Consider the following 26971-nt stretch of genomic DNA (forward strand, 5'->3'; position numbering starts at 1 on the left):
ATGAAGACACTGAGAAGAGACATGCCTAAGGTTGTTCAGTGAGGGACATGGCAGGTCAGACCTGCATCTGGGACAAGGGACAAGTGTGAACTGCTAGCTCCATTCCTGATGTGAATACCAGATTTACCCCCTCCACTTCTGGCCTTCAGTAGAGACCAGGTTAATCTGGCCCCAAAGTTCCTATTCTCCCAGCACTGCTCAGCTTGCTCAGTCCTTCTGCCTCCCAGGACCTCAGTTTCAACGCCTTTAACATGGGGCAGGGCATTTAGCCTTAAAGGGGCCTTAGGGCTGTGAGGGAGCAGTGGTAAGGGAGGGGCCCTCTTAGGAACTTGAGCTCACAACCCCGTAAGCTGTGCTGGTGGGAAGGGGATATGGGGTTTGGATCCTTCCAAACAGGAAGGTCCAAACAGCAGGGTCATTCTCACAGTGCTGTAGTTCCTGGCTAGCCTATCCTGTTTAGATCTTCAATGGATACCATTTCCTATCGTGTTGGAAGCTTTCTTCCAAAGGCTTCTGGGAGTCCCAACGGCTATAAGGGGGCTGAATCTCCACTCCTCTCTCTGCAAGGGCTTAGCTCCACCCAGGACCTCATCCCTCTAGGCCAATGATTCTCAAACTTTACCCTGCATCAGAACACCTAGAGGGCTTGTTAAAAATAGGTGGCGAGTTCCACAGAGTTTCTGATTTAGTAAATCTAGGAGGACCCTGAGAATTCTCATAGCTAACAAGTTCCCAGGTGATACTGGGGCTACTGGTCAGAACCACTGTGAACTGAAAGATTCACTCAGCAAGTCTGGATTATCCGAATCCTGCACATTTGCACATTTCAAAGAAAGGTTTGGCCTTGCCTGGCTCCTGGAAGATAACACTAAACCCTTGGAATATCCTGCCTGGTAAGTGTTTTTGCTTACCTTTGCTCCTTGGGCCACATGGTATCAGTTTAACTTCTGGAAGGGCTGGAGACTAAGTAAGGTCAGCCATGTGGGTGGTCAGCTATGCTTACACGATCAGCCTCCAGTAAGAACATTGGACACCAAAGCTCTGGTGAGCTTTCTTGGTTGGCAGTACTTCATTTTTTTTTGTCATACATCATTGCTTGGAAGATTGGGCACTGTCTGCACGACTCCACTGGGAGAGGACAGCTGGAAGTTTGTATCTGGTCTCTCCTGGTCTCTGCTCTGTGCACCTTTTGCTGTTGCTGTTTTATGCTCTATGTTCTTTCACTGTAATAAACTGTGAGGATAATAACTTTGCTGAGTTCTATGCATCATTCTAGCAAATCACTGAACCCAATGATCGTCTTGGAAACCACTACTCCAGGCTACGGGATTAACCTCTCTAGAATTCCTTTGCGTTGGGCTTTGGGGACCCTTCACCAAAGAAGTGCCTTATAACCTGACCTGAGGGTCATCCTGATGGAGTGTTTTGGCCTAAATACTTTAGGCTGTCATCTACTCAGTCCAGAGGTCAGGAGGTTATGAATTGCCTGGAAGTCTGGGTGTTGCTCTGTGGGGTAACCCTGAACAATCCTCCTGGATCTCTGGGCCTTATCTCCTCATGTGTAAATGGGGGTTTGGAAGAGTTCTGTTCTCCCCGGGTATGGCAGAGCCAATAGAGAATATGCAGGGATGTGGGCAGGGTTGGTTTATTTCACCTAGCTGCCTCACTTCCAGAGGTCAGGTCTGCCTTTTATAGCCCCACTCACCTGAGCCAGGGACTCCACGGTGCTGGGGTCCCCAGGCTTTAGTAGATCCAACCATGCAGTGCTGGCCCTCCTAGAACCACTTTCACGGCCACGGCCCACATTCCAAAGTACTTGGGCCCTCCCTGCCCCATTCAGCCCTGGCCTGAGACCAAGGCCTTGAGCCAACACAGTTAGGAAGGCCCCTTAGTGCCCGCTGGTTATGTGGCTTTATTCACAGACTCAGCACTTGCTGAGGATGAAAGGAAAGAACATTTGGGGCCAGGCTGGGCCTGGAGATCCGGGTGGCTGGGAGGCCATGCATGGGTTGGATTGGGGAGCTCACAGGAGAGAACCTGCTGGCTGGGCCAGGCCTGTGTGGGGCAGGGCCGGAGGCAGGCAGCATGCGGGAGGCCTGGCTAGATCTGCATGGAGCAGATCCATCCAGGTGGTGGCTGTGAGCCAGGAGGGAGGGACTGAGGCTTCTCTGGGGCAGGGGGTATGGATTTGCGGCTGGATAGCAGGCACACTTGACTCCCACTCCCAGGAAAATGATATTGTAGGACAGTCAGGACACCTGGCTCCTGGTCCTGTTGCTGCCTCGGGACTTGATATGTGACTAGCCAAGCCGGACCCTTCCAGTGTCATTGTCTTGCTGATGCTTGGACATTTGCCTTGGAGTTGACCCACCTAGGGACCCTCTGAGGACATTTGTGGACAATCCTGGAGAGTATGCCTAGGGCCCAGGTGGGCGGGCTCTGCCTATGAAGCGAGGGGATTCCCCAGCTCCCTGTCATCTGGCTTTTCTCCCAGCGGCCAGTTCAGTTTCTGGCTGTGCCCCCCAGGGGGCACCATCTCACACCGCAATCTGGGCCGCTGCTGGGCCAAGGAATACTTAATGTTAAGCCTTCTTTCTCCTGGCCCGCCCTGCTGGCTCCTGACTTCCTGCCTAAAGGCAAACAAGGAGTCCAAAGCCCGGATCCTCCTCCCGGGCCTTCTTCCTGGTGAAGAGCGCATTCCCACCCAGCAGGGAACAGAAAAACCAGTTCCCCGGGTTTCCCTCCCTGCCTGGGAATAGCGAAGTCTGGAAAGTTGGCAGGGTCTCTCTGGGCTGCCCAGGAAGGTGACCCAGGGTCCTGGGAAGCCAGGTGAGGCCTGAGCAGGGCCCTGGGGCTGAGGATGCAGCCCCTGCCCTCTTCCCACCGGCCTTTCCCGGGGACTGGGGTGGAGGGATGCAGGAGAGGGGACTATCAGCATTGGCGGGAGGGAGTGCGGTGCACGGAGCCAGGGCGCTTGGGGATCTTGCGCCAGCGTCTCTTGTCCCAGCGGCAAAGCAGCAGCAGGCGAAAGGTGTCCCGGAAGGCTTTGTTGCAGAGTGCGTAGCACATGGGGTTGATGGTGCTGTTGACGTAGCACAGCCAGTAGCCCAGCTCCCACAGGGTCTCGGGAACACAGTCCTTGCAGAAGGTGGACACCAGCACCATGATGTTGTACGGTGTCCAGGTGAGGATGAAGGCCAGGAGGATGGCACTCAGGGTCCGAGCCGCCTTCTTCTCCTTGACCAGCGAGAAGGTCTTCCGCTTGGCCAGCTGCTCCTTTCCACGGGGCTTCTGGCCCTTGCCAGCTCGATCACGCCCTTTCTTAGTCGGCCTCTTGACTGTATTTGGGGAGCTCCGTGGGGGCTGCTTGGTGGGGGCCTGTGCCTCGGGGTCCACCATTGGCATCTTGATCACCACTTCGGAGCCAGGCTCCTCTCCCTCTGAGGATGTGAGGGACTCCATGGAGCCTTCGTCCTCTTCCTCTTCTTCCTTCCAGCTGTAGGCCTGCAGCAGCCTGGGGGCCCGGCAGCAGCGACAGCAGCGGCCTGGAGGAGTCTCTGGTGAGCCCTCAGCCCCTGGCTGAGACCTCTCTGAGCTGCTGCTGCTGCCACCCCCTTTGCCTGGCGTCTCGGAGCCCTGAAGGGCTGCCAGCTCCCGTGCTCGGTTCTCTGTCTCCCGGTAGATGCGCCAGTAGAGCGTGCACATGACTGTGACAGGGAGGTAGAAGGCAGCCATGGCTGTGCCAAAGGTGATGATGGGCTGGGAGAGGAACTGGATGTAGCACTGCCCAGCTAGCACTGTCCGCTCCCCTACCAGGTACTGCCAGAAGAGGATGGCTGGGGCCCAGAGCACAAAGGAAACCAGCCAGGCCAGGCCGATCATCAGAGCTGCCCGGCGGGGTGTGCGCTTGGCACGGTAGCTCAGGGGCCGAGTCACGGAGAAGTAGCGGTCAAAGCTGATGAGCAGCAGATTCATGACGGAGGCATTGCTGGCCACATAGTCCAGGGCCAGCCAGAGGTCACAAGCCAGCGTGCCCAGAGCCCAGTGGCCCATGAGCAGGTACGTGGTATAGAGGTTCATGGAGAAGGTACCGATGATGAGGTCAGCACAGGCCAGGCTCAGCAGGAAGTAGTTATTGACTGTCTTGAGCTCCGTGTTGACCTTGAAAGAGATGAGTACCAGCAGGTTGCCTGTCACTGTGGCTAGCGACAGGAGGCCCGTGGTGATCCCAATGAAGGCCACTTGCCAGGGACCCTTTCCTGGTGCCAGGACGGTGATGTTGGGGCTGACAGCAGGTGGGGCTGAAGTGTTCATGGTGGCTAGGTGGGGCTGGGGTTGGAGAGCCCCTTCCTCCAGGCACGCTACAGGGCTTCCTCAGGGGAAAGTCATCACCTGAAAAGAGAGGACATGGGCTTTGGTTGGGCCACTGGACATTTCTGATAGACCTTATTGGAAGATGCTAGGGATGTAATTCTTGCCCTTGCAGAGCTTCAGACCAGATAGCATCACCCTCCCTTACCGGTGCCCACTCATGGTCATTTATCATGCACTTTCCCAGCCATAAGTGGATTTGCCAGCAGCGTGGAGTGGCTTTGGGATCCAGGGATTTGAATCTTCATTCCAGTTTTACCTTTCAGACTCCAGGCCTCCATTTTCTTACTGGGAAATTACTACAAATTCCTATCTTACATAACTCGGGTTGCAGGAGTTGGGAAACTCACTTTGTATACAGTCCTGCCAAATTCTCAAAGCATTTCACTCAACTTTATTAAAGCCCTCACTTACTGAGTAGTCACTGCATGCCAGACACAGTACTAACCACCTAAATGAATTATCTAATTTAACTGCTGTACGTCTCTAGGAGAAAGGGCTCTTATTATGCCCATCTCACTGTGAGGGAACTGTGGCTCTGAGCAGCTGCAAGCCTTGGCCATGGTGACAGAGATAGTAAGTATGATAAGAACCCGCAAGAACAGAAATGTGTCCTAAAACAGGAAAGAAAGAAAAGAAGCCATTCTCACTCTCCCCGGGTATGTGGTGCTCCAGTGGGATTCTTCCACTAATAAGGAGAGATGGGAAGAAAGGGGAGTTCCTGAGAAGATAAACAGAGAGAGATGGGAACAGAGGGGCCTTAGGGGTGTGTGCGTGCATGTATTTTTTTCTGCACGTTTTTCTGCGCATGCGGGTTTACATACGTATGTAGGGGGTGGTATTTGGGGCTGAATTGAATTCTCTATGAGGGCAGCAGGGAAAATTGTGCTGGACTCAGACACTCAGTTGCTAGTAAGAAGGTCTGGGGCAGGCCGGCGTGGTGGCTCACACCTGTAATCCCAGCACTTTGGGAGGCAGAGGCAGGCGGATCATGAGGTCAGGAGATCGAGACCATCCTGGCTAACATGGTGAAACCCCATCTCTACTAAAAATACAAAAAATTAGCCGGGCGTGGTGGCACGCATCTGTAGCCCCAGCTACTTGGGAGACTGAGGCAGGAGAATCGTTTGAACCTGGGAGGCGGAGGTTGCAGTGAGTCAAGACTGTGCCACTGCACTCCAGCCTGGGCAACAGAGCAAGACTCCATCTCAAAAAAAAAAAAAAAAAACCAAAAGGAAAAAAAAAAGAAGGTCTGGGGCAAAAGCAGGAAGCAGGGATGAGGGCCTCAGCTCCTAGCTCAGTGGGGGTCTGGGCCCATGGGGTGTGGGAGGCTTCCCTCCCTCTCCTGGCTCTGTTCCTGGGCCCCAGCTGAGTGAGGAGAAGCAAGGGAAATGGGAAGATCCCCCAGACTTTTCTTGGATCTGGAATCTGCTCCAGGCACTAAGCCTGGGTAAAGAGAAAGGCCGGGGCCCTTAACAACCTGCTGGCTGGGCAGGAGGCCCCCACAGCCACAGTGAAGCCAGATGGAAGGGTAAAGGTCCAGGCAGCTCAGCCAGGGGCTTGCTGCCATGTGATTTGGTGGGTCCCTTCCTGCTCTGGGCCTCAGGCATCCATCTGACCATTGAAGAGGTTGAGGGTCCCCTGACCCTCAGCTGTGGCCTCCAGGGGCTATATTGTTGGGAAAATTCCAAGGGAGAGATGTTAGGCAAGGGCCCACTGAGCCCTGGTGTTCCTTGGGCACCTGGCCTGTGACAGGCTGCTGTGATAGGTGGCCTGGGTGGTTTGTGGCTGAGGGCATCTCCATGGTTTGCCGTGAACCCTCAGTGTGTACAAGTCACTGACAGCGTGGCGAGTTCAGTGGGGGACAGAATGAGCAAGGACTGTGGCTGGCAGTGTGTGCTTGTGTGTCTGGGACAGTTTGCACATGAGGGGGCATGTGCAACCTGGACTCTGGAGCCAGACTATCTGGATTTGAATCTAGTCTATCCTGTTCACTGGATGTGTGATTATTGCTAGTGATATAACTTCTATATGCCTAGGTTTCCTTAATTGAAAAATGGGATAATACCCATTAGCAAGACTGTCACCTCTTTTCAGGTGATGAGGATTAAATGAATCAATGCATGTAAGGTGCTTAGAATGGCCCTGGCACATGGTAAACAGTAGGTCTCCTTTAACTCTCAGGATGTGTAGCAATGAGGGTGCTAGGCTGCCTAGAAATGTCTACCTCTTGGCCGGGTGCGGTGGCTCACGCCTGTAATCCCAGCACTTTGGGAGACCGAGGCGGGTGGATCACCTGAGGTCGGGAGTTCAAGACTAGCCTGGCCAACATAGTGAAACTCTGTCTCTACTAAAAATACAAAATTAGCCAGGGGTGGTGGTACATGGCTGTAACCCTAGCTACTCTGGAGGCTGAGGCAGGAGAATTGCTTGAACCCAGGAAGCAGAGGTTGTGGTGAGCCAAGATTGTGCCATTGCACTCCAGCCTGGGCAACAAGAGTGAAACTCTGTCTCAAAAAAAAAAAAAAAAAGAAAAGAAATGTCTGATACTATGACAATAGCAACTAGTAATAATAATGCTCATTGTTGTTATTGAGAGCTCCCTGAGTGCCAGTTGCTGTTAAAGGGTTTATATGCATAATCTTATTTAATCTTAACAGGAGCCTAGGATCAAGGGATGGCTGTTGTCTCCATTTTTTTTTTTTGAGATGGAGTCTCGCTCTGTCATACAGGCTGGAGTGCAGTTGCGCGATCTCGGCTCACTGCAGCTATTGTCTCCATTTTCTTTTTCTTTTTTTTTTTTGAGATGGAGTCTCGCTGTGTCACCCAGGCTGGAGTGCAGTGGCACAATCTCGGCTCACTGCAACCTCCGCCTCCGGGTTCACACCATTCTCCTGCCTCAGCCTCCTGAGTAGCTGGGACTACAGGCGCCTGCCACCACCACGCCCGGCTAAATTTTTGTATTTTTAGTAGAGACGGGGTTTCACAGTGTTAGCCAGGATGGTCTTGATCTCCTGACCTTGTGATCTGCCTGCCTCGGGCTCCCAAAGTGCTGGGATTACAGGCGTGAGCCACCGCGCCTGGCCTATTGTCTCCATTTTATAGATAAGGAAGCTGAGACTGAGAAAAGCAAGGGAATTTGTACGAGATCATGCAAGGAAGGTAGGAACTAGGATTTGAGCCCAAGCAGTTTGTTCCAGTGAAATTTCATTTACAAAAACCGAAGGCCAGCCTGGGGATCATAGTTTGCTAATTCGAATTCTAAAAATATTACATTAAAATATGATTTGTCTTGATTACTGAGTTTTGCTGTACCCTTTCCCTTAAACAAAATCAGCCACTGGGCTGGAGGCTGGGATTAGGCTGGGGCTTTCCCCAGTGAGGCCACTGGTAGACACTACCCTTGAGAATTTGTGCAATTCTTGTCACTGTCATCTTCTGAGCTTAGTGCTATTTAATGCCCATCGCTCACAGGGAGCAGCTGAGGCCCAGAGAAAAGGGAGTAGAAGGCATTGTCTAGTCCAAGGTCTCCTGGCTCCTAGATTGGGTACTGCCCCCCATGCCATACTCTCCTGGTAGTTTGGATCAGCTCTGTATCCCTGGGCCCTTGGCAAAGACCTGCAAAGGCTGAGTTAGACAAGAGGAGGTTGCTAGCCTGAGAGGCTGCACCCTGCCCTGCTGCAGGGGCCTCTCATCTGCCTGGGCATGGTGCAGCCTTTAAAGCTTGACTCCTTAGGCCTGGCGTGGTGGCTCACGCCTGTAATCCTAGCACTCTGGGAGGTTGAGGCAGACGGATCACATGAGCTCATGAGTTCAAGACCAGCCTCAGCAACTTGGTGAAACCCTGTCTCTACTAAAAATATAAAAATTAGCCAGGCATGGTGGCGGGCACCTATGGTCCCAGCTACTTGGGAGGCTGAGGCAGGAGGATCACTTGAGCCCAGGAGGCAGAGGTTGCAGTGAGCCGCGATCACGCCACTGCACTCCAGCCTGGGTGACAGAGTGAGACCCTGTCTCAAAAAAAAAAAAAAAAAAAAAAAAAAAAAGCTTGACTCCTTATACCTCAGCAGGCTAGGACTAGGGTAAGGTGAAAATCAGGCACTTGCCTCCAATGCGAAATGTATGGGGTGCCCCAAAACTTAGTCTTCAAGAAAATATTTTAATGTAATATTTACAAAAATGGAAGTTAATGCAAAAAAATCCAAGATGAACAACATGTTAAATAAAGACAGGGTCCACCCTGCACTTGCACAGCCCTTTCTCACTCACCTCACCCTAATCCTGACCCTGGTTCCAATAAAACTTTAGTTACAAAGACAGACAGCCAGCCTGTGGGCTGGAATTTGCTATTTGATTTAAAAAAATATTATTATGATATTATTTCTCTTGTTTAGTGAGTATTTTTACGTCCCCCTCTTAAATTTTGCTCTGAAGCGAGTGCCTTGCTTGATTCACCCTAGTCCTGGCCTTGTAGTTCCCAGTCTTGGGTTTGAAGCTTGGCGCTGAGCCTTCCTTGCTGTGTGACCATCAGTAACCAGTCGACCTTTCATTCCCCTGCTGCCCTCATCCCCAGCTGTGAGGATGATACCGTTCAGAGTGCCTGGCACTGAAACAGACACTCAGTTAAAAAGTTAAAGCCTTATTGTTATTATTATTATTATTATTATTTTGAGATGGACTCTCACTCTGTCACCCAGGCTGGAGTGTAGTGATGTGATTTCAGCTCACTGCAACCTCTGCCTTCTGGATTCAAGCGATCCTCCTGCCTCAGCCTCCCGAGTAGCTGGGATTATAGGCTCCTGCCACTACACTCAGCTAATTTTTGTATTTTTAGGAGAGACAGGGTTTCACCATGTTGGCAAGGCTGGTCTCGAACTCCTGACCTCAGGTGATCCACCTGCCTCGGCCTCCCAAAGTACTGGGATTATAGGCATGAGCCACAGCACCCGGCCCTGTTGTTATTCTCCACTCCTTCTCCTGATCCAGTGCCCAGCCTCTTCCCACCATGCCGCTTCCCCTCCAGACCCCAGGCACGACCCTACTCTGCCTCCCAGTTTGCTCATTTGCAATGGAGGAGTTGGACAAGCCTGGTGTCTGGGGAGATTTTACTAAGTCCGGAAGCCAACATCTCAAGGTGCTGAACAGAAAGAACCCAAGTCCCTGAGGCAAGGCTGAAGGCTCAACTTACATTATCTCACTTGGGGCTGGAAATGTCATCAACTCAGATTGCGAATACGGTGCCCATCACAAGGCTAGCTATAACTTTGGTGAATTAAAAAATGCTTTCAGAACAGGGGACTTGTGAGAAGAAGTAACTCAAGGAGTCCTTGGAGGTGAGGACCTCTCCTAGAGGGGTCCTTGGAGGTGAGGAAGCCGGCAGTCCCTTGCCTTGATGTCTGGAAATTCCTTCCAAATCTCCCATTTTAATAGTCGTATTGCTAACCACCATAATTAATGCCTCCTGGATGGCAGGCACTTAATATATATTCTTTCCCTTAATCACAGGACACCTCAGTGGACATCCCATGGGGGGCTCTATCTTTATATTATAGGTAAGGGCATTGAGGCTCAGGGTGCAAAGTAGATTTCTGATGGTCCCACAGCAGTGGTGGAGGTGGGATTCTGACCCGGACCTGTGGGCTCCAAGCCTGTGTTCTTTCCACCTCAGCAAAACCCCTCTGCCCCACTTACGCGGATGAGGGCTAAGGCCTCTCACCTGGGGCAGGTGGCAGGTAGAGAAGTCACCAGAGGTTCCAGAGAATTGGAACCTGATTCTTGCCACCGTCTAGATCTTCTGCCCCCTATGACGCAGTACAAGAACAGACCCATCAATGAATGACTGCCTTTCCTCTATATCAGAAGCAGAGGTCCTCACCCCCAGCCCTCTCTTGGACAGAGAAAGAGCTCAGGAGAAGATTCCTGGAGACGTGCTCTAGTCCCTTCTGTGTGACCTTGTCCAAGTCTCCTTAACTGTCGATGTGGGGCAGTCTTCTACCTGTCCAAGGTTCCTGTGGGATCAGTGAGATGGTGGCTGTGAAAGAATCTGGTTTCCCATGATTGTGGCAGATTCCCCTGGGGAGACCAGCCCTAGGCTGAGGATTAGGGTATGGGGTTCAGTGGTAGCTCTAGAATCCCTAAAGAAGGAGGGACTTAGGACAGCCAGCTGGTTGAAAAGGGGGCTTGAAGCTGCATTTGCAGGGCACGTCCTGTGAAGGCATCCATGGGGGCTGGGGCTCACATATGCAGTGAGTTTGTCAATGGGGATTGCAGTGGGCAGCAGGAAGACCCCCCGAGGCAGTCCTTGGCACTGCCTCTGCCTAGCTGCCAGCTCTTGTCTTGCTATGTGACCTTGGGTAAATGACCGTCCTGACCTGGTGGCCCTTCTGTGGAATGGGGTGAACTCCTAGGATGAGTGTTTGTGTGTGAGGGTATATGCATTGCTGAGCAAGGCTGGGAATGGTGGAGGTGGGTCCATAGCTTTGTGGGGACTCATCCTCAGAGGGTGTTTCACCTGGAGTTCAGGAAGATAGTGAGGAAGCAAGGAGGGGCTTCTCTCCAGGACTGTGGCCTCCTGATGAAGGCTGTTAGAAGGCTTTAATACTATCACTAATACTCCTTACACATAATAGCAGCAAAGAAAAATTACTCATATTATAGTAACTGGTATTTACTGGCTGCATACTATATACCAGACATGGCTCTAAGCATTATATACATAAACATTATAAACTCGATCTAATCTACCTGTTACAACTCCTTGTGAAGTAGGTCCTGCTATCCCCAGTTTGCAAAAGGCCTAACCTGAGGCTTCAAGACCTGAAGGACCTTACAGCTCATCAGCGATGCAACCAGGATTTGGATCCAGGCCGTCTGCCTCCGAGACCAACCTCTTGAACCCTACTCCTGCCCTTGAGGGGTTGCGGGGGTTTGCCAGCCTCCTTGCCCACCTCAGCTAGCTTACTCAAGCCCAACTTTGAATCAGTTAACGATGAGCAATCGGTCCTTCTTTCAGAATCTGGCCTCCTTTGTGTGCGCGGCAGTGTCTGTCGTATATCTGTGTGATGTGTGATAACAGTGCTGTGGGAAGAGGGTGGGTCTACTGGAGCTCTTTAAAGGGCAGGGTAAGGGCTGCGTCTGTCTCATTCAATGCTTTATCCCAGGGCTTGGCAGATAGTAGTTGCTCAATAAATACCTGTGGAATAAATGTACGTGTGTGTACTCAACTTCAGACCCTGGAGCCTGAGGGTGAACCTGTGGGGGTCAGGACCAGGTCCAGAGCATGGTCCAGAGGCCCCTCTTCTCCCTTGAGCTCCCACATCTCATCTGCCAGGTCCCTGCTTCCCTGAGTGAGGCCCTGCCTGGCTGGAGAGCATAGGAGAAAAACAGCCAAGAGCATCCTTGTCTGTAAAGTGGACCAAGGAAACCCTGCCTCACCCGGCTGCAGGGAAGCTAAGTGAGGTGCCAGGACAGACATGGACGTGCCAAAGCATTTGTCACTGGGGAGAGGAGAATGTTAGCCTGGGCTCAAAGGGTTAAGGGATGAGGTCAGAGCCTTTATTACAGCAGGCCAGACTGTTGACTCCCAGCGCCCAGGACCAATCCCTAGGGGCTGGGGATCTGGCTTGTGAGAGCAACTGGGAGTGGAGAGAACCACTGGGGGAGGCAGGGAAAGGGAAATGGGGAGAGGGATTCCTGAACACCAGGCTTTTCTGAACGTACCGCTGGCCAAAGAGTACAGAAGGGGAGGGAGGGAATGAGGGGATGCTGGGGAAGATATTTAGGAGGGAGGAGCGGAGCCATCTTGTGATTCTGGGCCTGGAAGCTGGTAGAGTCCTGGTTAGGAAGAGGGGATAACATTGGGGAGTGGGAGGTATGTGGAGGGGGCTGTGGGGTTGGGCACCTGAGGCCTCACATATGCAATGAGGAGGGCGCTCCTTCTGGCCAGGTCTACTCACTGATCCCTTCTGCTAGGGCCTGACCCCAGAAGCCAGCCCATACGAGGCAGCTCTCCCCTCGGGGTTAACTTTTCTTTGACAGCAGCTCTTGACCCATTAAGGTGCACAAAACTTCCACCCCTGATGTCTGGCTTTGAGAATGAGGGAGTAAACAGAATTTATCACATTTTTAAGGCTCAACAGTTGCCATTGGGAGGGCCAACTAGTCTTGTGGAGGGCAGCAGCCATCAGTTAAATGCTACATGAAACACACTGCTTAGCTGGAAGAGAAGCATCAGCCCTAGAATCACTGCCAAATTTGCTCACCCATGATGGATCTTAAGCAGTTGCCTGACTTTGGCCAGACCATGACAGAGCCTGGGCATGAGCAGCTGGACCCTAGACCTCACTCTGCCAGTGTGGCATCAGAGGTTCTGGGTCCCTCATCCTCCTCTCCGCAAGCCCCCTGCTCCTGGCTCCTTGCACTCTCCTCCTCATTTCCTTTCTTCTCTCTCCCTCCCTCCTCCATCCTTGTAGGCATCACCATGGCACCACAGCAGAGCAGAAACCCAGCGCAATTCACCCACCTCTCCCCGCCTGCTGGGAGCCCAAGCTTCTGCGTCTCAGAGCTTACTGCGCCCCCTGCTCTCCCACCCCATCTTCCTGCTCATGGAGGCGGCAGCGCAGTGTTGTGCTGAGGATGCGGAGAAGGGGTCCGAGCCCCAGCTGGATCCCTACATATCCCTTCTCCGACCATGAGCATGTCCCTTTCCCTTTCTCAGCCTCAGTCCCTCCATACAATAGAAAGCCTCCTTTCTAGGTCTGACATGACCTCTGGTTAGCCCCTTCTTGACACTTTGGACTCCCCATTACACTTCAGAATCCAGTTCTCAGAACTCCAACCGCCAGCTGTCAGCTGCGAGCCAAGACCCACATCTTCTGCAGCCCATTTCACTATCTCCTTCCCTTTCATATCTCAGCCGCGATAGCGACTGCAGCTTGCCTGGTGGCTGAGGTCAGAGGGCAGAGAACTCTCATCTGACAGCCCACTGAACAGCTGATTACCCTGAGAAAGGAGACTGTCTGGCTACTGGAGACTGCCTGACTCCTTCCAGCCAGTTGGGCAGGGGTCTTGGGTCAGTCTGGGTGGAGCTGCAGGTGTGTTTTGTGCAAAGATGTGAACCCCTCTCCATTGGCTCTGATAACCTCTAAGCTGCACATGTCTGGATGACCTAATGAGAGCTGACGACCCCCTCCCCAGCTGGCCTGCCCAGGAGCTGACAACTCTACAAGCATCAGAGTTCCTGGCCCCTAGCCCATCCCCATGTTGTGCAGTCTGCGGGCACTGGGGTGAGTACCTGGCGTGGGTGCCCATTGGTATCCATGCATTGCCTGGATATAGGACTGAGACCCACCCTGCGGGAGCCCAAGATACTAGAAACATAAGGAGGGTCCTCTGGGCCCCTGCGCACGTCAGGGCCACCTTCCCTGGCTAGTGTGGCCACCCACATGCCCATTTGTCCCCAAAGAGCCCTGGGGCTCTTTGCCTGGTCTCCTGCTGGCTTCTGGCCTGACACCCACCTTGGCTTCTAGCTTCTCTATCTGGCCAGCAGCCTGATTCAGTCCATCTTGGGGGAGCTGAGGTGGACGGGGGTGGTGGGTTTCAGGGTGCCCTGAGGGAGGACAGGAGGTTCTGGGACTGGCACCCCCATCAAGATGGGGGTCAACCTCCCACAGGATGCTGGTGGCAAGGGCTGCTTCCTGGCCCTTTGCCCTTCCCACTCTGCCCCTAGGGTGTTGGGGGTTCTGCTTGCTACCAGGCAGCCTAATCCCTTCTGGGCCTCAGGTCCAGTTTCCTGAGGGGGATCTCCATCTCCTCTGCCAGCAGAAGCCCAGAAAAACATCAGCTATATCCACTCAAAGCCAGGAGGCCGAGTGTTTGGAGCAGTCAGTGTTCAATGCTACAGAGCCCCCTTGCCCTCTAGACCCCTCCCTGGCCTCCTCCTATCTCTGTGAGTCCATCCCTATTTCCATCTCATCCTGATCCCTGCCCTCCCCCGCTCCCCAGGACCCTCCTACCCTCTACCTTAGTGCAGCCCCTCCCAAGCCCTCCCAAATGTACTCACCACGGGGCTGAAGAGGGGTCTGTAGGGTCCTCAGCCCCACTGCCTCCCTGGGGGCCTGCGGCGTCTCCAGGGACCCAAACACCTGGCTCCCAGGGGGAGCTGCGCCCTGTGCTGGCAGCGGGAGAGGCACAGCCAGTGATTGGCATGTCCCACCCCCTGGCACGCCAGCCTTAGCGGGGAGGGAGAAAGGGAAAGAGAGGGAGGGAGGAAAGGGAGAAAAGGAAGGGAGGGGAGCTGGAGGGAAGCCTCAGGCAGCGTCTGGGGTTGGACTAGGTTCTGGAGTGTGCCCCCCTCCTTCACCAGGGCACCCAATTTGAGCCCCAAGAGGGAGGAGAAAGGACATGAGGAAGGCGAGCCCAGGAAGGCTAAAAGTCCCGGACGGGAGAGAAGGCGGATACAGGGAGACAAACACCCACACCCACTGCACAGACCCGGCGGCACACACACCCTCACAAAGGCACACTGTTTCCTTGGGCTCCTCCCCCCACCCAACCTTAGAGCCCCCAGCCCCTGTGCACCATGCCCCAACACACATGCCCTGGTATTCACATGCCTGCTTCCCTCGCACACACGCCCTCCCCCCTGCACATGCCCACGCACCCACCCACCCAACTACACACCCTGCTCTTCCTCCCTGCTGTGAGAGAGCTAGATTCCTTCTGTTTGGAAATGACACATTGGGCCTCACGTGAGAGGCTCCAACTTGGAACAGACCCAGAGGGCTGGCGCACCCGCCCGGGGGCTGAGTGAACGTGCCCGCATGCTGGGCTGTGTGCGCTAGCATTGGGCTATGCATAGCCTGTTGTGAGGGTATATGGGTGTCTGCTTTTCGGGGATGAGTAGAGGGCCAGGTGCCTGCCCCATGTGCGGCTGAGTGCCTTGCATATGTGTGTCCCTGTGTACTCATGTCACCATGCAGCCTGTGTAAGTGCAGGTGTGACCCTATCAGTCTGGAGGCAGGACGCGTGTGCACACGTGTGTCTGTATCTGATGTGTGGCTGAGTGTTGCCCAACTGTGGAACTTGCTAATTCTGACAAGTGAGGCAGCCTCTACCTGCCTGCTCCACCCCAAGCTTCCACTTGGAAGACAGACAGGCAGACAGACAGCTCTCCTCCCAGCTTGTCAAGCTCTGTCTCCCCTGACTCCCACTCAGGGCTCACAGGTGTGTACCTGGGAGGAGATGAGCCCTCCTCCCAATCTCCCTCAGCCCTACTGGGTGAGGCCAGCATCCCTCCCTGCCAGGCTGGTCTGGACTTCTGTGTTGAGCTTCCTCAGAGATAGAACCCCTGGGGGGCCGTTTGCCCTAGAGATGTGGGTCCTGCACCGCCTCTGTTTGGCCCTAGAGACCTCCCCGGGAGCTGACTGGGGAGGAGAGTTGGAGGCTGCAGGGACTGCCTTCTGGGGCTGCTGTGTTCTTTGCCCACTGGGCTGTGTCGAAGTCTTGGGGTGAGAGGTGGGAAGGAATGGGAGCATCAATTATCCCCATTTTGTAGGTGAGAAATCTGAAGAGCAGAGGTATGATTAGCATGTGGTGGGCAGGTGTTTGGGCTCAGGTCACTTGGCTCTAAGCCCAGGGCTCTGGAGTCTGGGGCAGGGGTTTCCCCTACTCATTTCCCCACCAAGCGCCGCCCCCCGCCCCCACAACCCCGCCAATGCTGGTGCCTGAGGGTAACCTGGGGCTTTCTCACCCAGGAGCCCAGTTGGCCAATGGAGCCAAGTGGAGCTGAAACTGGAGTTCCTGGGGTTTGGTCAGCAGCTACTGGTGGGCACACGTGGCAGGTACATGTGGGGGCATCTGTGCTTCTCAAAGCCAGCTGGGGTTCCAGCAGGCACCCAGTCCTCCTCCCTGCTGAAGTCAAGCAGACGCTGCAGCTTGGAGAGAAATCTAAGTGAGCATCCCCTTTCCATCCCAGGGTCACCCAGCCGGTCAGGGTTGGGTCAGAACTTGACCAGTCCCTACCCTTGGGCGCGGACTCGGGATGCCCCCTGCTGGGCTGCCCTGGGTTTGCGGCTGCGGCTTGGGCGGCGCGGTGGGGCTGCGTGTACTTGTGCGCGTACACGTGGCTGAGTGTGGGGGTGTTAGGCCTCCACGCTCAACATCCATTTCCGAATCTGAATCAGGCTCCCTCTTTGCCACCTCCCCCCAGTCTCCTTGGTCTCCCTTTTCTCTTCTCCCACCGCCTCTGCACACGTCCCTTTAGAAATAAAAACACTTATTTTGTGGGCGGGTGGGGAGGGTGTCCAGCTTTCCCCTGCCTCCTCCTGAGTGCCCCCCTCTGTCCCACGCGGCTTTCTTCTGAAGTCTGTGCAGTCGCGGACGCAGGGGGATGACGCCCCCCGCCACCCCCACCACTGTATCACTCTTCTGACGTCCCCGCCCAGACTTGGCTAGCTCACCCTTATCAGATGGGGAAACTGAGGCAGGAGGGGAGAAGAGAGGTACGGCCTGGAGAAGCGCTCCCGCCCGGCTCGCTCACCACCCCCGCACTCGCGCCCGATTTAGCCGCAGGGAGGCTGGGAACATTGTCTTTATTTTAAGCCTCCGAGTGCGGCACGAACGCGGCTGCTCGCGACAAAGGGCTTCTTGAAGCGGCTGCAGGCGGCGCACGTGGGGCTTTGGCCCCGCCCCCGCGCGACCCCCTCCAGTTCTCCCTCATTTCTGGCTGGGTTGGGTGGGGTCTGACTCTCGGGTCTCGGCTCCTGCTGGTTGTTATTTTTGGTCGCCTGGTCGAGAATTCAGTCCTCCAGGCCACCAAGGGAACGTGGAGTCGCCCTTGCGCGGCTCGGCCCCAGTCTCGGCCCCCTTACTGTGCAAGAGGAGAGTGCCCTGAATGCGAATTCAGCTTGGCCTTTTTCTAGTTGAAGCGGCCTGAGCAAGCTAGGCCCCCTCTCTAGGTCTCAGTTTCTTCATCAGTGACAAGAAGGGTAGAAATACCTCCCCGACCAGGCTGTTTGACGGGTTAGTTGAGCTTCTGCAGGTAAAACGTGGCACGTGCGTCTGCAAAAAGTGAAAGCCATCACTGCGGTTTTTTTTTTTTTTTTTAATACAGGGTTTCGGTCTCTTGGCCAAGCTGGAGTGCAGTGGCGCGATCAGAGCTCACTGCAATTGCCTGCCGGGCTCAAGCGATCCTCCCACCGCAGCCCTACCCCCTCACCCACTCTGAGTAGCTGGGACTACAGGCGCGCGCCACCCCACTGGCTTTTTTTTTTTTTTTTTTTTTTTTTAAATTTTTTATTGACAGGGTTTCACCATGTTGGCCAGGCTGGTCTTGAACTCCTGAGCTGAAGTGATCCGCCCGCCTCCGCCCCCCTCAGCTTTCTAAAGTGCTGGGATTACTGAGCCACCGCGTCCGGCAGTTCTTTTTTATAACACTTATTGAGCACTTACTATGTGTCAGGAACTGCTAAGTGCTCTCTCTCTCTCTCTCTCTCTCTCTCTCTCTCTCTCTCTATATATATATATATATATATATATATATATATATTTGTGAGACAGGGTCTCACTCTGTCGCCCAAGCTGTAGTACAGTGGCGTGATCTCGGCTTACCGGCAACCTCCGCCTCCCAGGCTCAAGGGATTCTCCTGCCTCAGCCTCCCGAGTAGATGGGATTACAGGCGCGCGCCACTACCGCCCAGCTAATTTTTGTATTTTTAGTAGAGACGGGGTTTCGCTATGTTGGCCAGGCTGGTCTCGAACTCCTGACCTCAAATAATCCACCCACCTTGGCCTCCCAAAGTGCTGGGATTACAGGCGTGAGTCACCGCATCCGCCCGGCCTCTATATTCTTATTATTTTATTTTATTTTATTGTTTTTTTTGAGACGGAGTCTCGCTCTTTCCTCCAGGCTGGAGTGCAGTGGTGCGATCTCGGCTCACTGCAACCTCTGCCTCCCGGGTTCAAGCGACTCTCCCGCCTCAGCCTCCCGAGTAGCTGGGACCACGGGCGCATGCCACCACGCCCTGCTAATTTTTTGTATTTTTAGTAGAGACGGGGTTTCACCTTGTTAGCCAGGATAGTCTTGATATGCTGACCTCCTGATCCACCCGCCTCGGCCTCCCAAAGTGCTGGGATTACACGCGTGAGCCACAGCGCCCGGCCTATATTCTTTAATTTACTTTCACAACTCTATGAGGGAGGTTCCATTATTCCCATTTTACAGATGAGTAGATTTACAAGAGGCGTGGGTCCCTGTGGTTTCATGGAGGATGAGGTCAGTGCGCCTGGAGCCATCCTGGGGCTGAGCACCTGCTGCAGTTCCAGAGACGGCAGGGACTGTGGGACAGCATTTTTAAGATTCCCAGGGTCCGGCAAGGCCGCAGGTGGGTGGAGGAATGAATGAGCAGGCTCCGGGAGTGCGCTGCAGACCCGGAGTGTAAGTCTCCGCCCTTGGTTTTAATCCGTGTCAGAAACTCAAACCCAGCTAAATGTGCCACTTTTACAGTGCCGCTTCCTCTGTCCTGGGGCACACATTCTGAGTCCGGGTGGGAGGCAGCGGGTCGGCCTAAGGGCGCCCCTCCTCGCATCTTCACCTTCAATGGCCTTAGGTCCTCAACTTCCTCTCTCCCCCCACTCCCTCCCGCCAGGACTCCTGGAGAGACTAATTCCCAGATGTAAAACAAGAAACTCAAATCCAGGGCGGGGCTGCGTATAGAGCAGGCCCAGTAAGGGGCCCCCAGAGTCCCCGCCGTCCGAGGCGAGAGCGGACGCGGCCACAATAAAGGCATCTTATTGGGACAGGAAATCGGGATTTTCCGAGTCCGGTTTCGAAATTGAGGCCTTGTAGACGCTTCACCTTTCCTGCCCGGCTACGTGCTGGGCTCCGGAGGGCAGTGGGAGTGCGGAGAAGCAGCTCCACTCCCCAGCCCCAAGTCTTGCGGGCAGTTCCCGAAGAAAAGATGGGTTTGGGGCGGTCGCGAAAGCGGCGCCTCGCGTGTTTTCCTGCCGTTCCCGGGTCCTTATAGCCCGGCCGGAGACTCCGCTGAGTTGACTCGGCGCCCGGGGTCCTGCCAGGGGTAGTGAATGCTGGGAACTGAGATAACGCAACGTGGCGTTTCGGACTCCCCGCTGGACCGGGCCGTGGAGAGGAGCTGCGTTCCCACAGGGCATCCCTAAGCGTCCTCTGTCCCCGCCTATGAGGACACAACCTGGAAGTCCAGGCCACTGGTTGCCGCCTTGGAGTTGGATGTACCGTGAAAGTGCGGCCCCGACGCAGGAAGCAGGCACCTTCCCCCGCACTATGGAAGCTCGCGCCCCTCGCTTCTCGAAACACCTGATTCACGGCGTCGACCCTGCTTCGCTGGGTCTGCGGACATTGGGCTCCTCAGCTTTCCGCCACAGGGTGTACGCGCCCGGGCCCAGGCGGGTGTAGGTCCCACGTGAAACTGCTGGAGCCCGGCGGAGCTTCGGACGGGAATTTGGGGTCAGAACAGGTCCAGGTCTCAAGGCAACCCCCAACTCTGTACAGTGGAATCCGCTCGTCCAGGGTCGTGACCCGGGTGAGGCAGTGCGGATTTCAGGGTCCCCGTGCTCCCAGCCCGGCGAAGTTTCACCCTTCCTTCCCTTGCTGGCTTCCTCTCCCAGTTCCCTGGACGCCGAGTCCTCGAGTCTCCCCCCCACCACCCCCCGAGGCGGAGGCCAAAGCTTGAAGCCCACGATGACGAAGGGTGGGTGGGAAGGCGCCGGGGGAGTGGAGCCTCAGCCCGGTTCCTCTCCTGAGACACTTGCAGGCGCCGCAAGTACGCACCGAGAGGTTCAGTAACCTGTCCAAGGTCACACAGCTAGTAGGTGCCAGAGTCAGGCCAGTAGAATTCCAATCATTGCTTTTGCCGCGATCCTAAATGTCCCCTCAGTGTCAAATGTACTCGCGTCTTCGCGAGACCCTCACCCCTAGGCAGGCGCCGCAAGTACGTCGGTGGGTCGGGGGCTGCCCTTTACCCTACCCTTTGTTTATTGGCTCGCAGGGGTTCTCCACCTCAGTCACCGCCGCCCGGGGCCGCTTCGGTGACGCCCATGACCCTCCGCGCCCCTGCCGCGGCCCCTAGGGGCCCACCCAGCTCCGTACCTAGGAGGGGCCGGGCGACGGGCTAGAGTGCCTGGGCTGGGAGGGGGGCCCGGTGCCAAGCGCCCACTCTCTTTCTCAGGGAGAGGAATAACAGCACTTATATCCCCTTCATGCCCCAGTGCAGGCCTTTTGTTGGCGCGGGGTGGGTAAGGGGTTGTGCAGAGCTAACGCTAGGAAGGCGATAGGAGCTGGCTGCCCTTTATTGAGGGCTTGCTCCTGGCTACCGCATTCATAACATCTTTGCGTGCACTTTCTCATTTAATCTTCACGACTGCCCCACGAAGGGAGGTTAGGTAACAATCTGCCCTCTTAACCCCTTCCCAGTTTGCAGGTTTTGCCCCCAGCTTGGAGCCTGAGAACACTGTCTGCTATCTGTAAGAGGGAGTTTCCTGGGAAATTGCTAAATCGATGTCTCCTGCAGTGCTTCATTTTGTGGTCCCATTATATTAACAAACACTTGCATAGCACCAGCAATGTGCTGTCACCCTCTCAGTGTTTTACGTTTTAACTCATTTAATTTTCGTAATAACTTGACGAAGCAGGTAGAATTATTATTCCTATTTTACAGATGAAGAAACCGAGGCACCAAGAGGTTCTGTAACCTGTCCAAGGTCACACAGCTAGTACATGCCAGAGCCAGACTAGTTGACTTCCAATCATTGCTTTTGCCCCTATCCTAAAGATTCCCCAAATGTCAATGGCGATGTATCCACATCATCTCCTGCCTCCTTCTCCTCTTCTGGCTCCCACTGTGGGGCAATCAGCCTTTTTGTTAGGACCTGACATGACCTTGGCCCCACAGCCCCCCTTCCCCGCCCCCTTGGCGCCTCTTGCCAGTCCCATTGCTGACGGAGGTCTGACGGGGGCAGAGATTGATGAGAATGAGAGGATCTCTGAGGCCACCTGTTTACTCTGCCGGCAGGCACACGCAGTGATTAACGGTGCACAATCGAGTTAGGACCTGAGCTCTGCAGCTGGAGGCCAGGGCAGGGAGAGGGGCCTGCCGCCTAGAGTTTCCGCTCCCTGGGGATCTTGGGGGTTTGCAAGAAGCCCCTCGAGGAGACCGAGAATGAGCAGTGCCCGGCCAGAGGGTATAGGGTGCATGTAGACAACCTTCCCTGTCCTACTTGCCCCCGCCCCCTTTCCACAGAGATAGTGGGGCTGGGCGTGTCTCAGCTCCAGACCTTGTCCAAGGAAGGAAGGAATGAAGGAAGGAGGAAGGAAGGCTTTTCCCAAAGGGCAACCTCTCAACAGGAAATGGTAGCAATGCAGGGAGAGAGGGAGAAGCAGGGCTGTGTCCGTCTGGGGTTTGGATGGTGGGGGACAACTCTGTTTGGGCCCAAGCCTCCTCACTTGTATCCCTGTGTCTTTCCCCCAGGCGTGAACGACTTCTCTCTTGAGCACATGCCCATTCTGCTCTAGTTTTCTTGTTATAACAGCCTAGCCTGAAGGAACACATGAATAAAAGCCCAGCCCCAGCTGTAGCCCTCCTTATGGGGACCCTTTGTTCCCTTGCCCTGCATTCAGGGGACAGGTCACCAGAGTTTCACTAGTTTAAAAACCACACAGTGCAGCCCATAGCATGTCCTGCCTCCTCCAGATTGGTAATGAAGCTCCATCCTAAGGGTTCAGACTGGAGTCTATGCCCAGCACTGTGTTCAACACTGGGAAGGGAACAGGAGAAACCAGGGCCCAGAAACCATGGGGCTTATGAGCTTGTTGGGGAGACAAAATGATTTTGGGAAAGGTATTAGGGCACAGTGGAGCCCATGCATTTCCCAGGAACAGGATAAAAAGGTGAGGGAAGGTAGAAGGATGGTCAGTAGACGCTGGCCCTATGCAGAGGGTGCAGGCCTGCCCAGGAAGGGTGATCTGGTTTTGGAGGTTGTGTGGTATGTCAGGGCGCCAGACTGAGTCAAGTCGCGGGGCCCTGTCTAGCGCCTTGTAGAAGGAGTCATGGCCTCTCTCTCACCCTCAGTCTATTCTGTACTTGGAGTGGAGATGGAGGCAAAGTCGGACCTGGTAGCCTCAGTGGGCTCTCCCAGCTCTGATGTTCCTTGAAGATGGGACACCTGGGGCTTGACTCTGTTCTGTGGCCTGGCAGATCCCTCCGTTCTCTGAGCTTCAGTTTCTCTGAAAGTAAAATGGGAACTCAGGCTAGCCCAGTGTTCCTCAGTCTATTTTGTGGAAGTTAGTGGATGTTATTTATTTATTTTTTTAAAAAGTCCTCTGTGATGAAATGGGAAATTAATTAGGCTTTCTTTACTGCAGGAACCTCTCCGAGCAAATAAATGGCAAACATGTGTTGAGAGTCTCTGAGAGGCAAAGAGAACGATCAGCATTTCCCAAACTTATTTCTCCACAGGATCTTTTTTTACATGGAGCGTCTCGTAGGACTGGCTTCTGAGGAACACAGGTGGGTCACTCTGGACTGGCTTATCTAGAAAACCTCCAGCTCTGATGTGATAGTTTTAGGCACCACCCGTCACCCATTCGGCCTCTACTCCTGCCCCCTTGAAGGATTCTTTTCCCTAGCCCCAGCCTTTCCCGGACACTGCCCACCTCTGGATCCCTTACTGTACTCTCTTTAGGGAGCCCTTCCTGTGCCCGGCTTCATATGACCTCCCTGGCTCAGCCCCCTAGAGGGCTCAACTTCATCCCGCTGCCCCTTCCCTGGTCCTTTCCAGTTCCCAGAGGACCTGAGGGGCACTGTCTGGGCTCTTCTGGTAGGGTCAGTGTGACAGCTACCCTCAGCCCCAGTATGTGGTTTTCTGGTTCCTAATCCCAGGCCCTAGTCCCAAATTTCCTAGGCTCAGCTTCAAGCCTCCCTCTTTAGCCCTCAATCAACAGACCTCATTCCCTATCCCCTACATGAGGCCTCTAGCCCCAAGTCTCCTGGTTCCCAGCTCCAGGCTCCTGCACCTTAATCTGCAGCTCCAAGCCCTAGTCCCACTGCCCACCCGTGGCGTCCAGCCTTCCTCTCCAGAGCAGTTTCTGAGATTCTGGGTTCTAGGGGGTTAATAGGCAGCCTCTTTCCTCTCTCCAGCTGCAGCTGCAACCGACTTGGTTTTTGGGCCTGAGCCAGGGGCCTGGGCCAGAGGAGAGCAATTGAGCACCCTGGCTGAGTGAGGGGTGAATCTCAGGAGTTGAGGACAACTATTTAGAGTAACACTGCCTCCAACCCCCAAGCCTGGTTCAAGGTAAGGGAACCCCTTAGAGGCAAAATTACAGATTATGAACAGAAAATGCTAATGAGATAAATGGTGGGAGGCGGGGGTTGGGGCCAAGGGCAGGGTAAGGAGAAGACAGGAGAGGGATGGGGGTGGTAAGCCTGGTTCAGCTTGGTTCAGTCCTGAGATGGTGCTGAGGATAGGGCCTGCCACAGGGTGTCCTAGCTGGGGAATCTCTAAAGAACCATTTTACAGATGGGGAAGCTGAGGCCCTGTAATTTGCCAAAGGCTCCCTCCTAGGGAGGAGGGGCTATTGCCCCTGCCTCTGTGTTCTTCTCTTTTTTCTTCTTGCCTCCAGTTTCCAGATGTTAGTGGCCAGTGCCCAACCCAAAATTGTCTCCTCATATCATGATCTCAATGTGCAGTTTCCAAAATGCTTTTTCTTCAGCACCTCCTCCTTCTAGAAATCCTTGCTGTGCTCAGCCTCTGGGGACACCCCGTCTTGGGTCTCTTCCTACTCCCCTGGCTGTTGTTCCACATTCTCCTTTGCTGATGTTCCTCACCATCCTGCTCTGAACTTTGGAGTGTCTGGGCTCAGCATTTTTTTTTTTTTTGAGTCGAAGTCTTGCTCTGTCGCCCAGGCTGGAGTACAGTGGCATGATCTCTGCTCACTGCAACCTCCACCTCCCGGGTTCAAGCAATTCTTCCTGCCTCAGCTTCCTGAGTAGCTGGGATTACAGGCATGCACCACCACACCTGGCTAATTTTTGTATTTTTAGTAGAGATGGGGTTTTGCCATGTTGGCCAGGCTGGTCTTGAACTCCTGACCTCAGGTGATCCACCCGCCTCAGGCTCCCAAAGTGCTGGGATTACAAGTGTGAGCCACCACGCCCGTCTGGGCTCAGTCTTTGGACCTTCATACCCACTTTCCAGGTGAGCTTATGCCACCCACACACTGATGACTCCCAAATGTATATGTCTAGCCCAGGCTCTCTTCTGAACACCAGTCTTGTCTATCCAATATTTCCTCATCTGTAAAATGGGAATCATAATAGCTCTACATCCTAGGGCCATGATGAGGATTAAATGAGTTTAGACGTGGAAAGTGTTAGAAAAATGCTTGGCTCAGAGTGAGCTCTACGGCTGGAGCTATGCTTATTATTACCACTGTCATTAGTGCTGCCTGCCAGCTCCATTTGGATGTGTAGAATCATCTCAGTCATGACTCATCCCAAACCCCAAACATGCTCTATCCGCAGCCTTGCCCATCTCAGCAGGTGGCAACCCTGTCCTTTCAGTAGCTCAGGCCAAAAACCTTGGAGTCACCCTTGACTCTGTTCTTTCTCTCACATGCCAAATCTAATCCATTAGAAAATCCTCTTGTCTTTTCCTTAAATACATCCGGAGTGCAACCACTGTGATTTTGCTAGTGTTGTCTCTCACCTGGATTACTGTCTCAGGCCCTTTTGATATGTAAGTTACATCATGTCTCTCCTCTGTTCAAAATGCTCTAACGACTCTCCAGCTTTCTCAGAATAAAGCGTCAGTTCCCACAGGAGCAGCTCCTGCTTCCTCCTGAGCCTCGTTTCCTACCACTGACTCCTCACTGCTCTGCCCCAGCCACACTGGCCTTGCGGTTCCAAGAACCTACCAAGCACTTTCCTGCCTCAAGGACTTTGTGCTAGTGTTATCTTTGGCTAGGTAATAGTAAACAAACCATCAGGATTCTACAAGATAAAGATTATGATAGAGATCATGCAAAGGTTTGGGAGTTGGGGCAGTGGGCACATAGAGAGGAGCCCAGAGAGCCTGGCCCTAGCCATTCATAAAAGTCACTGAATGTCCCTTAAGCAGTGGGCAGCCGAGGAAGGTATGTGTGCAGGGCAGGGTTGGGACTAGGGTGGGGTGAGGTGCAAATTTAAGAGGGTGCTAAAAAACTCAACAATTATGATGAATAATATTTTAATGTAGTATTTTAAAAATCAAAATTAATGCAAAAGTTCATGATGAATAAAATATCAAACTTTCAATTAAAGACTGGATCAGGGCCAGGCGTGGTGGCTCATGCCTGTAATCCCAGCACTTTGGGAGGCTGCGGTGGGCAGATACAAAGTCAGGAGTTTGAGACCAGCTTGGCCAACATGGTGAAACCCCATCTCTACTAAAAATAGAAAAGAATCAGCTGGGCGTGGTGGCAGGTGCCTGTAATCCCAGCTACTCAGGAGGCTGAGGCAGGAGGATTGCTTGAACCCTGGGTGTGGGGGGAGCGGGGGCAGAGGTTGCAGTGAGCCGAGATGGTGCCACTTGGCTCCAGCCTGGGTGAAAGAGCGAAACTCCGACTCAAAAAAAAGAGACTGGATCATGCAGGGCTCAGACAGGAGAGGTAAGTCCATTGCTTCACTGCTTCACTCACTCTACGCTAGTCTTGGCCCTAGATGGCAGGCCAGTGACTCAAGATCCTTCTGGGGTCATGGGAGGATGGACTGGACAGGGACACCAAACAATGGGCCAGGAAGAAATTAGGTGGAGAAGCCTGGCCCAGGGGATGGCAGTGGGCTGGACAAGACGTTTCTGGTGTGTGAAATTGTAATAGCGAGTCTTTTTTTTCTTTGAGACTGAGTCTTGCTCTGTCTCCCAGGCTGGAGTACAGTGGTGTGATCTTGGCTCACTGCAAGCTCCGCCTCCCGGGTTCATGCCATTCTCCTGCCTCAGCCTCCCGAGTAGCTGGGACTACAGGTGCCCGCCACCATGCCTGGCTAATTTTTTATATTTTTAGTAGAGATGGGGTTTCACCATGTTAGCCAGGATGGTCTCGATCTTCTGACCCCGTGATCCACCCACCTCGGCTTCCCAAAGTGCTGGGATTACAGGCGTGAGGCACCGCGCCCCGCCTGTATTAGCGAGTCTTGGTGAGGTAATGGACAGAAACTCTGTGCTTGGTGGTGGTGCAAGTTTGGCTGAGAGGCAGTTAAAAACCAGGGAAGGGCGGGGCATCAGGGACAGGGGTGGGGCCACGTGGAGGAAAGGGCACTCACCTGGCTCACGTTGAGGACTGCCCTGAATCAGCCATCCGATCAGGAAGCCACCTGCAGCAGGTGGAGAAGCTGAGAGAGAAGGCCGTTCAGATCCTTGCATTCTCAGCTGAGGCAGGACCGGGGGAATGAGGCCTCTAGATTGACCCTGGCAATAGGGTCTCAGGGGCAGCACCAAGGCCGAGAGGTGGGGGGTTGGGGGGTGGGTCAGAGCCACGTTTAGGTTCTGAAGGCTGGGCTGGTAGATTGGGGGTTGTCAGGCCAAGGCTAGGAGA

The 26971-nt window shown here is 54.1% G+C and overlaps 1 protein-coding gene and 2 long non-coding RNA genes across 4 annotated transcripts in view, besides 3 other annotated features; 2 read left to right on the forward strand and 1 right to left on the reverse strand.

Annotated features, from left to right (window-relative positions):
• Nucleotides 1-1892: 1892 nt before the first annotated feature.
• Nucleotides 1893-15092, reverse strand: CHRM1 (cholinergic receptor muscarinic 1). Of its 2 annotated transcripts, none has more exons than XM_011544742.3 (2): nucleotides 15052-15092; nucleotides 1893-4392 (listed from the first exon to the last, which is right to left on the reverse strand). In XM_011544742.3, the coding sequence occupies exon 2, from the start codon at nucleotides 4312-4314 to the stop codon at nucleotides 2932-2934; it is 1383 nt and encodes a 460-aa protein (XP_011543044.1). In that variant the 5' UTR covers nucleotides 4315-4392; nucleotides 15052-15092; the 3' UTR covers nucleotides 1893-2931. The 2 variants fall into 2 exon arrangements, with proteins under 2 accessions (XP_011543044.1, NP_000729.2); NM_000738.3 differs by lacking the exon at nucleotides 15052-15092 and adding an exon at nucleotides 14432-14577.
• On the forward strand, nucleotides 2621-11575 carry CHRM1-AS1 (CHRM1 antisense RNA 1). The gene is made up of 3 exons (NR_199052.1): nucleotides 2621-2829; nucleotides 3817-4059; nucleotides 11140-11575. It is a non-coding gene; the product is annotated as a CHRM1 antisense RNA 1 (long non-coding RNA).
• The window catches only part of LOC105369333 (uncharacterized), a 36169-nt gene continuing 22571 nt past the window's right edge, over nucleotides 13374-26971 (forward strand). The window contains exons 1-3 of the long non-coding RNA XR_002957251.2: nucleotides 13374-13655; nucleotides 22766-22910; nucleotides 23541-23694. This is a non-coding gene — a long non-coding RNA (uncharacterized LOC105369333). The remainder of the gene's footprint in view (nucleotides 13656-22765; nucleotides 22911-23540; nucleotides 23695-26971) is intronic.
• Nucleotides 14901-15435: an enhancer, noted in NCBI's record as "H3K4me1 hESC enhancer chr11:62689159-62689693 (GRCh37/hg19 assembly coordinates)". NCBI's record gives its function as "activates a minimal SCP1, AML or CMV promoter by ChIP-STARR-seq in naive H9 embryonic stem cells {active_cell/tissue: H9 hESC(naive)}" and the evidence as "EXISTENCE:reporter gene assay evidence [ECO:0000049][PMID:30033119]".
• Nucleotides 17199-17258: an enhancer, noted in NCBI's record as "active region_4868". NCBI's record gives its function as "activates an Ori minimal core promoter by ATAC-STARR-seq in GM12878 lymphoblastoid cells {active_cell/tissue: GM12878}" and the evidence as "EXISTENCE:reporter gene assay evidence [ECO:0000049][PMID:35858748]".
• Nucleotides 18637-19402: an enhancer, noted in NCBI's record as "H3K27ac-H3K4me1 hESC enhancer chr11:62692895-62693660 (GRCh37/hg19 assembly coordinates)". NCBI's record gives its function as "activates a minimal SCP1, AML or CMV promoter by ChIP-STARR-seq in primed H9 embryonic stem cells {active_cell/tissue: H9 hESC(primed)}" and the evidence as "EXISTENCE:reporter gene assay evidence [ECO:0000049][PMID:30033119]".

This window comes from Homo sapiens, chromosome 11, assembly GCF_000001405.40.
Source record: "Homo sapiens chromosome 11, GRCh38.p14 Primary Assembly".
Taxonomy (NCBI): Eukaryota; Metazoa; Chordata; class Mammalia; order Primates; family Hominidae; genus Homo; species Homo sapiens.

Coding starts and splice junctions, on each gene's coding strand:
- CHRM1 (XM_011544742.3), bottom strand. CDS start 4,314: ATGAACACTTCAGCCCCACCTGCTGTCAGCCCCAACATCACCGTCCTG.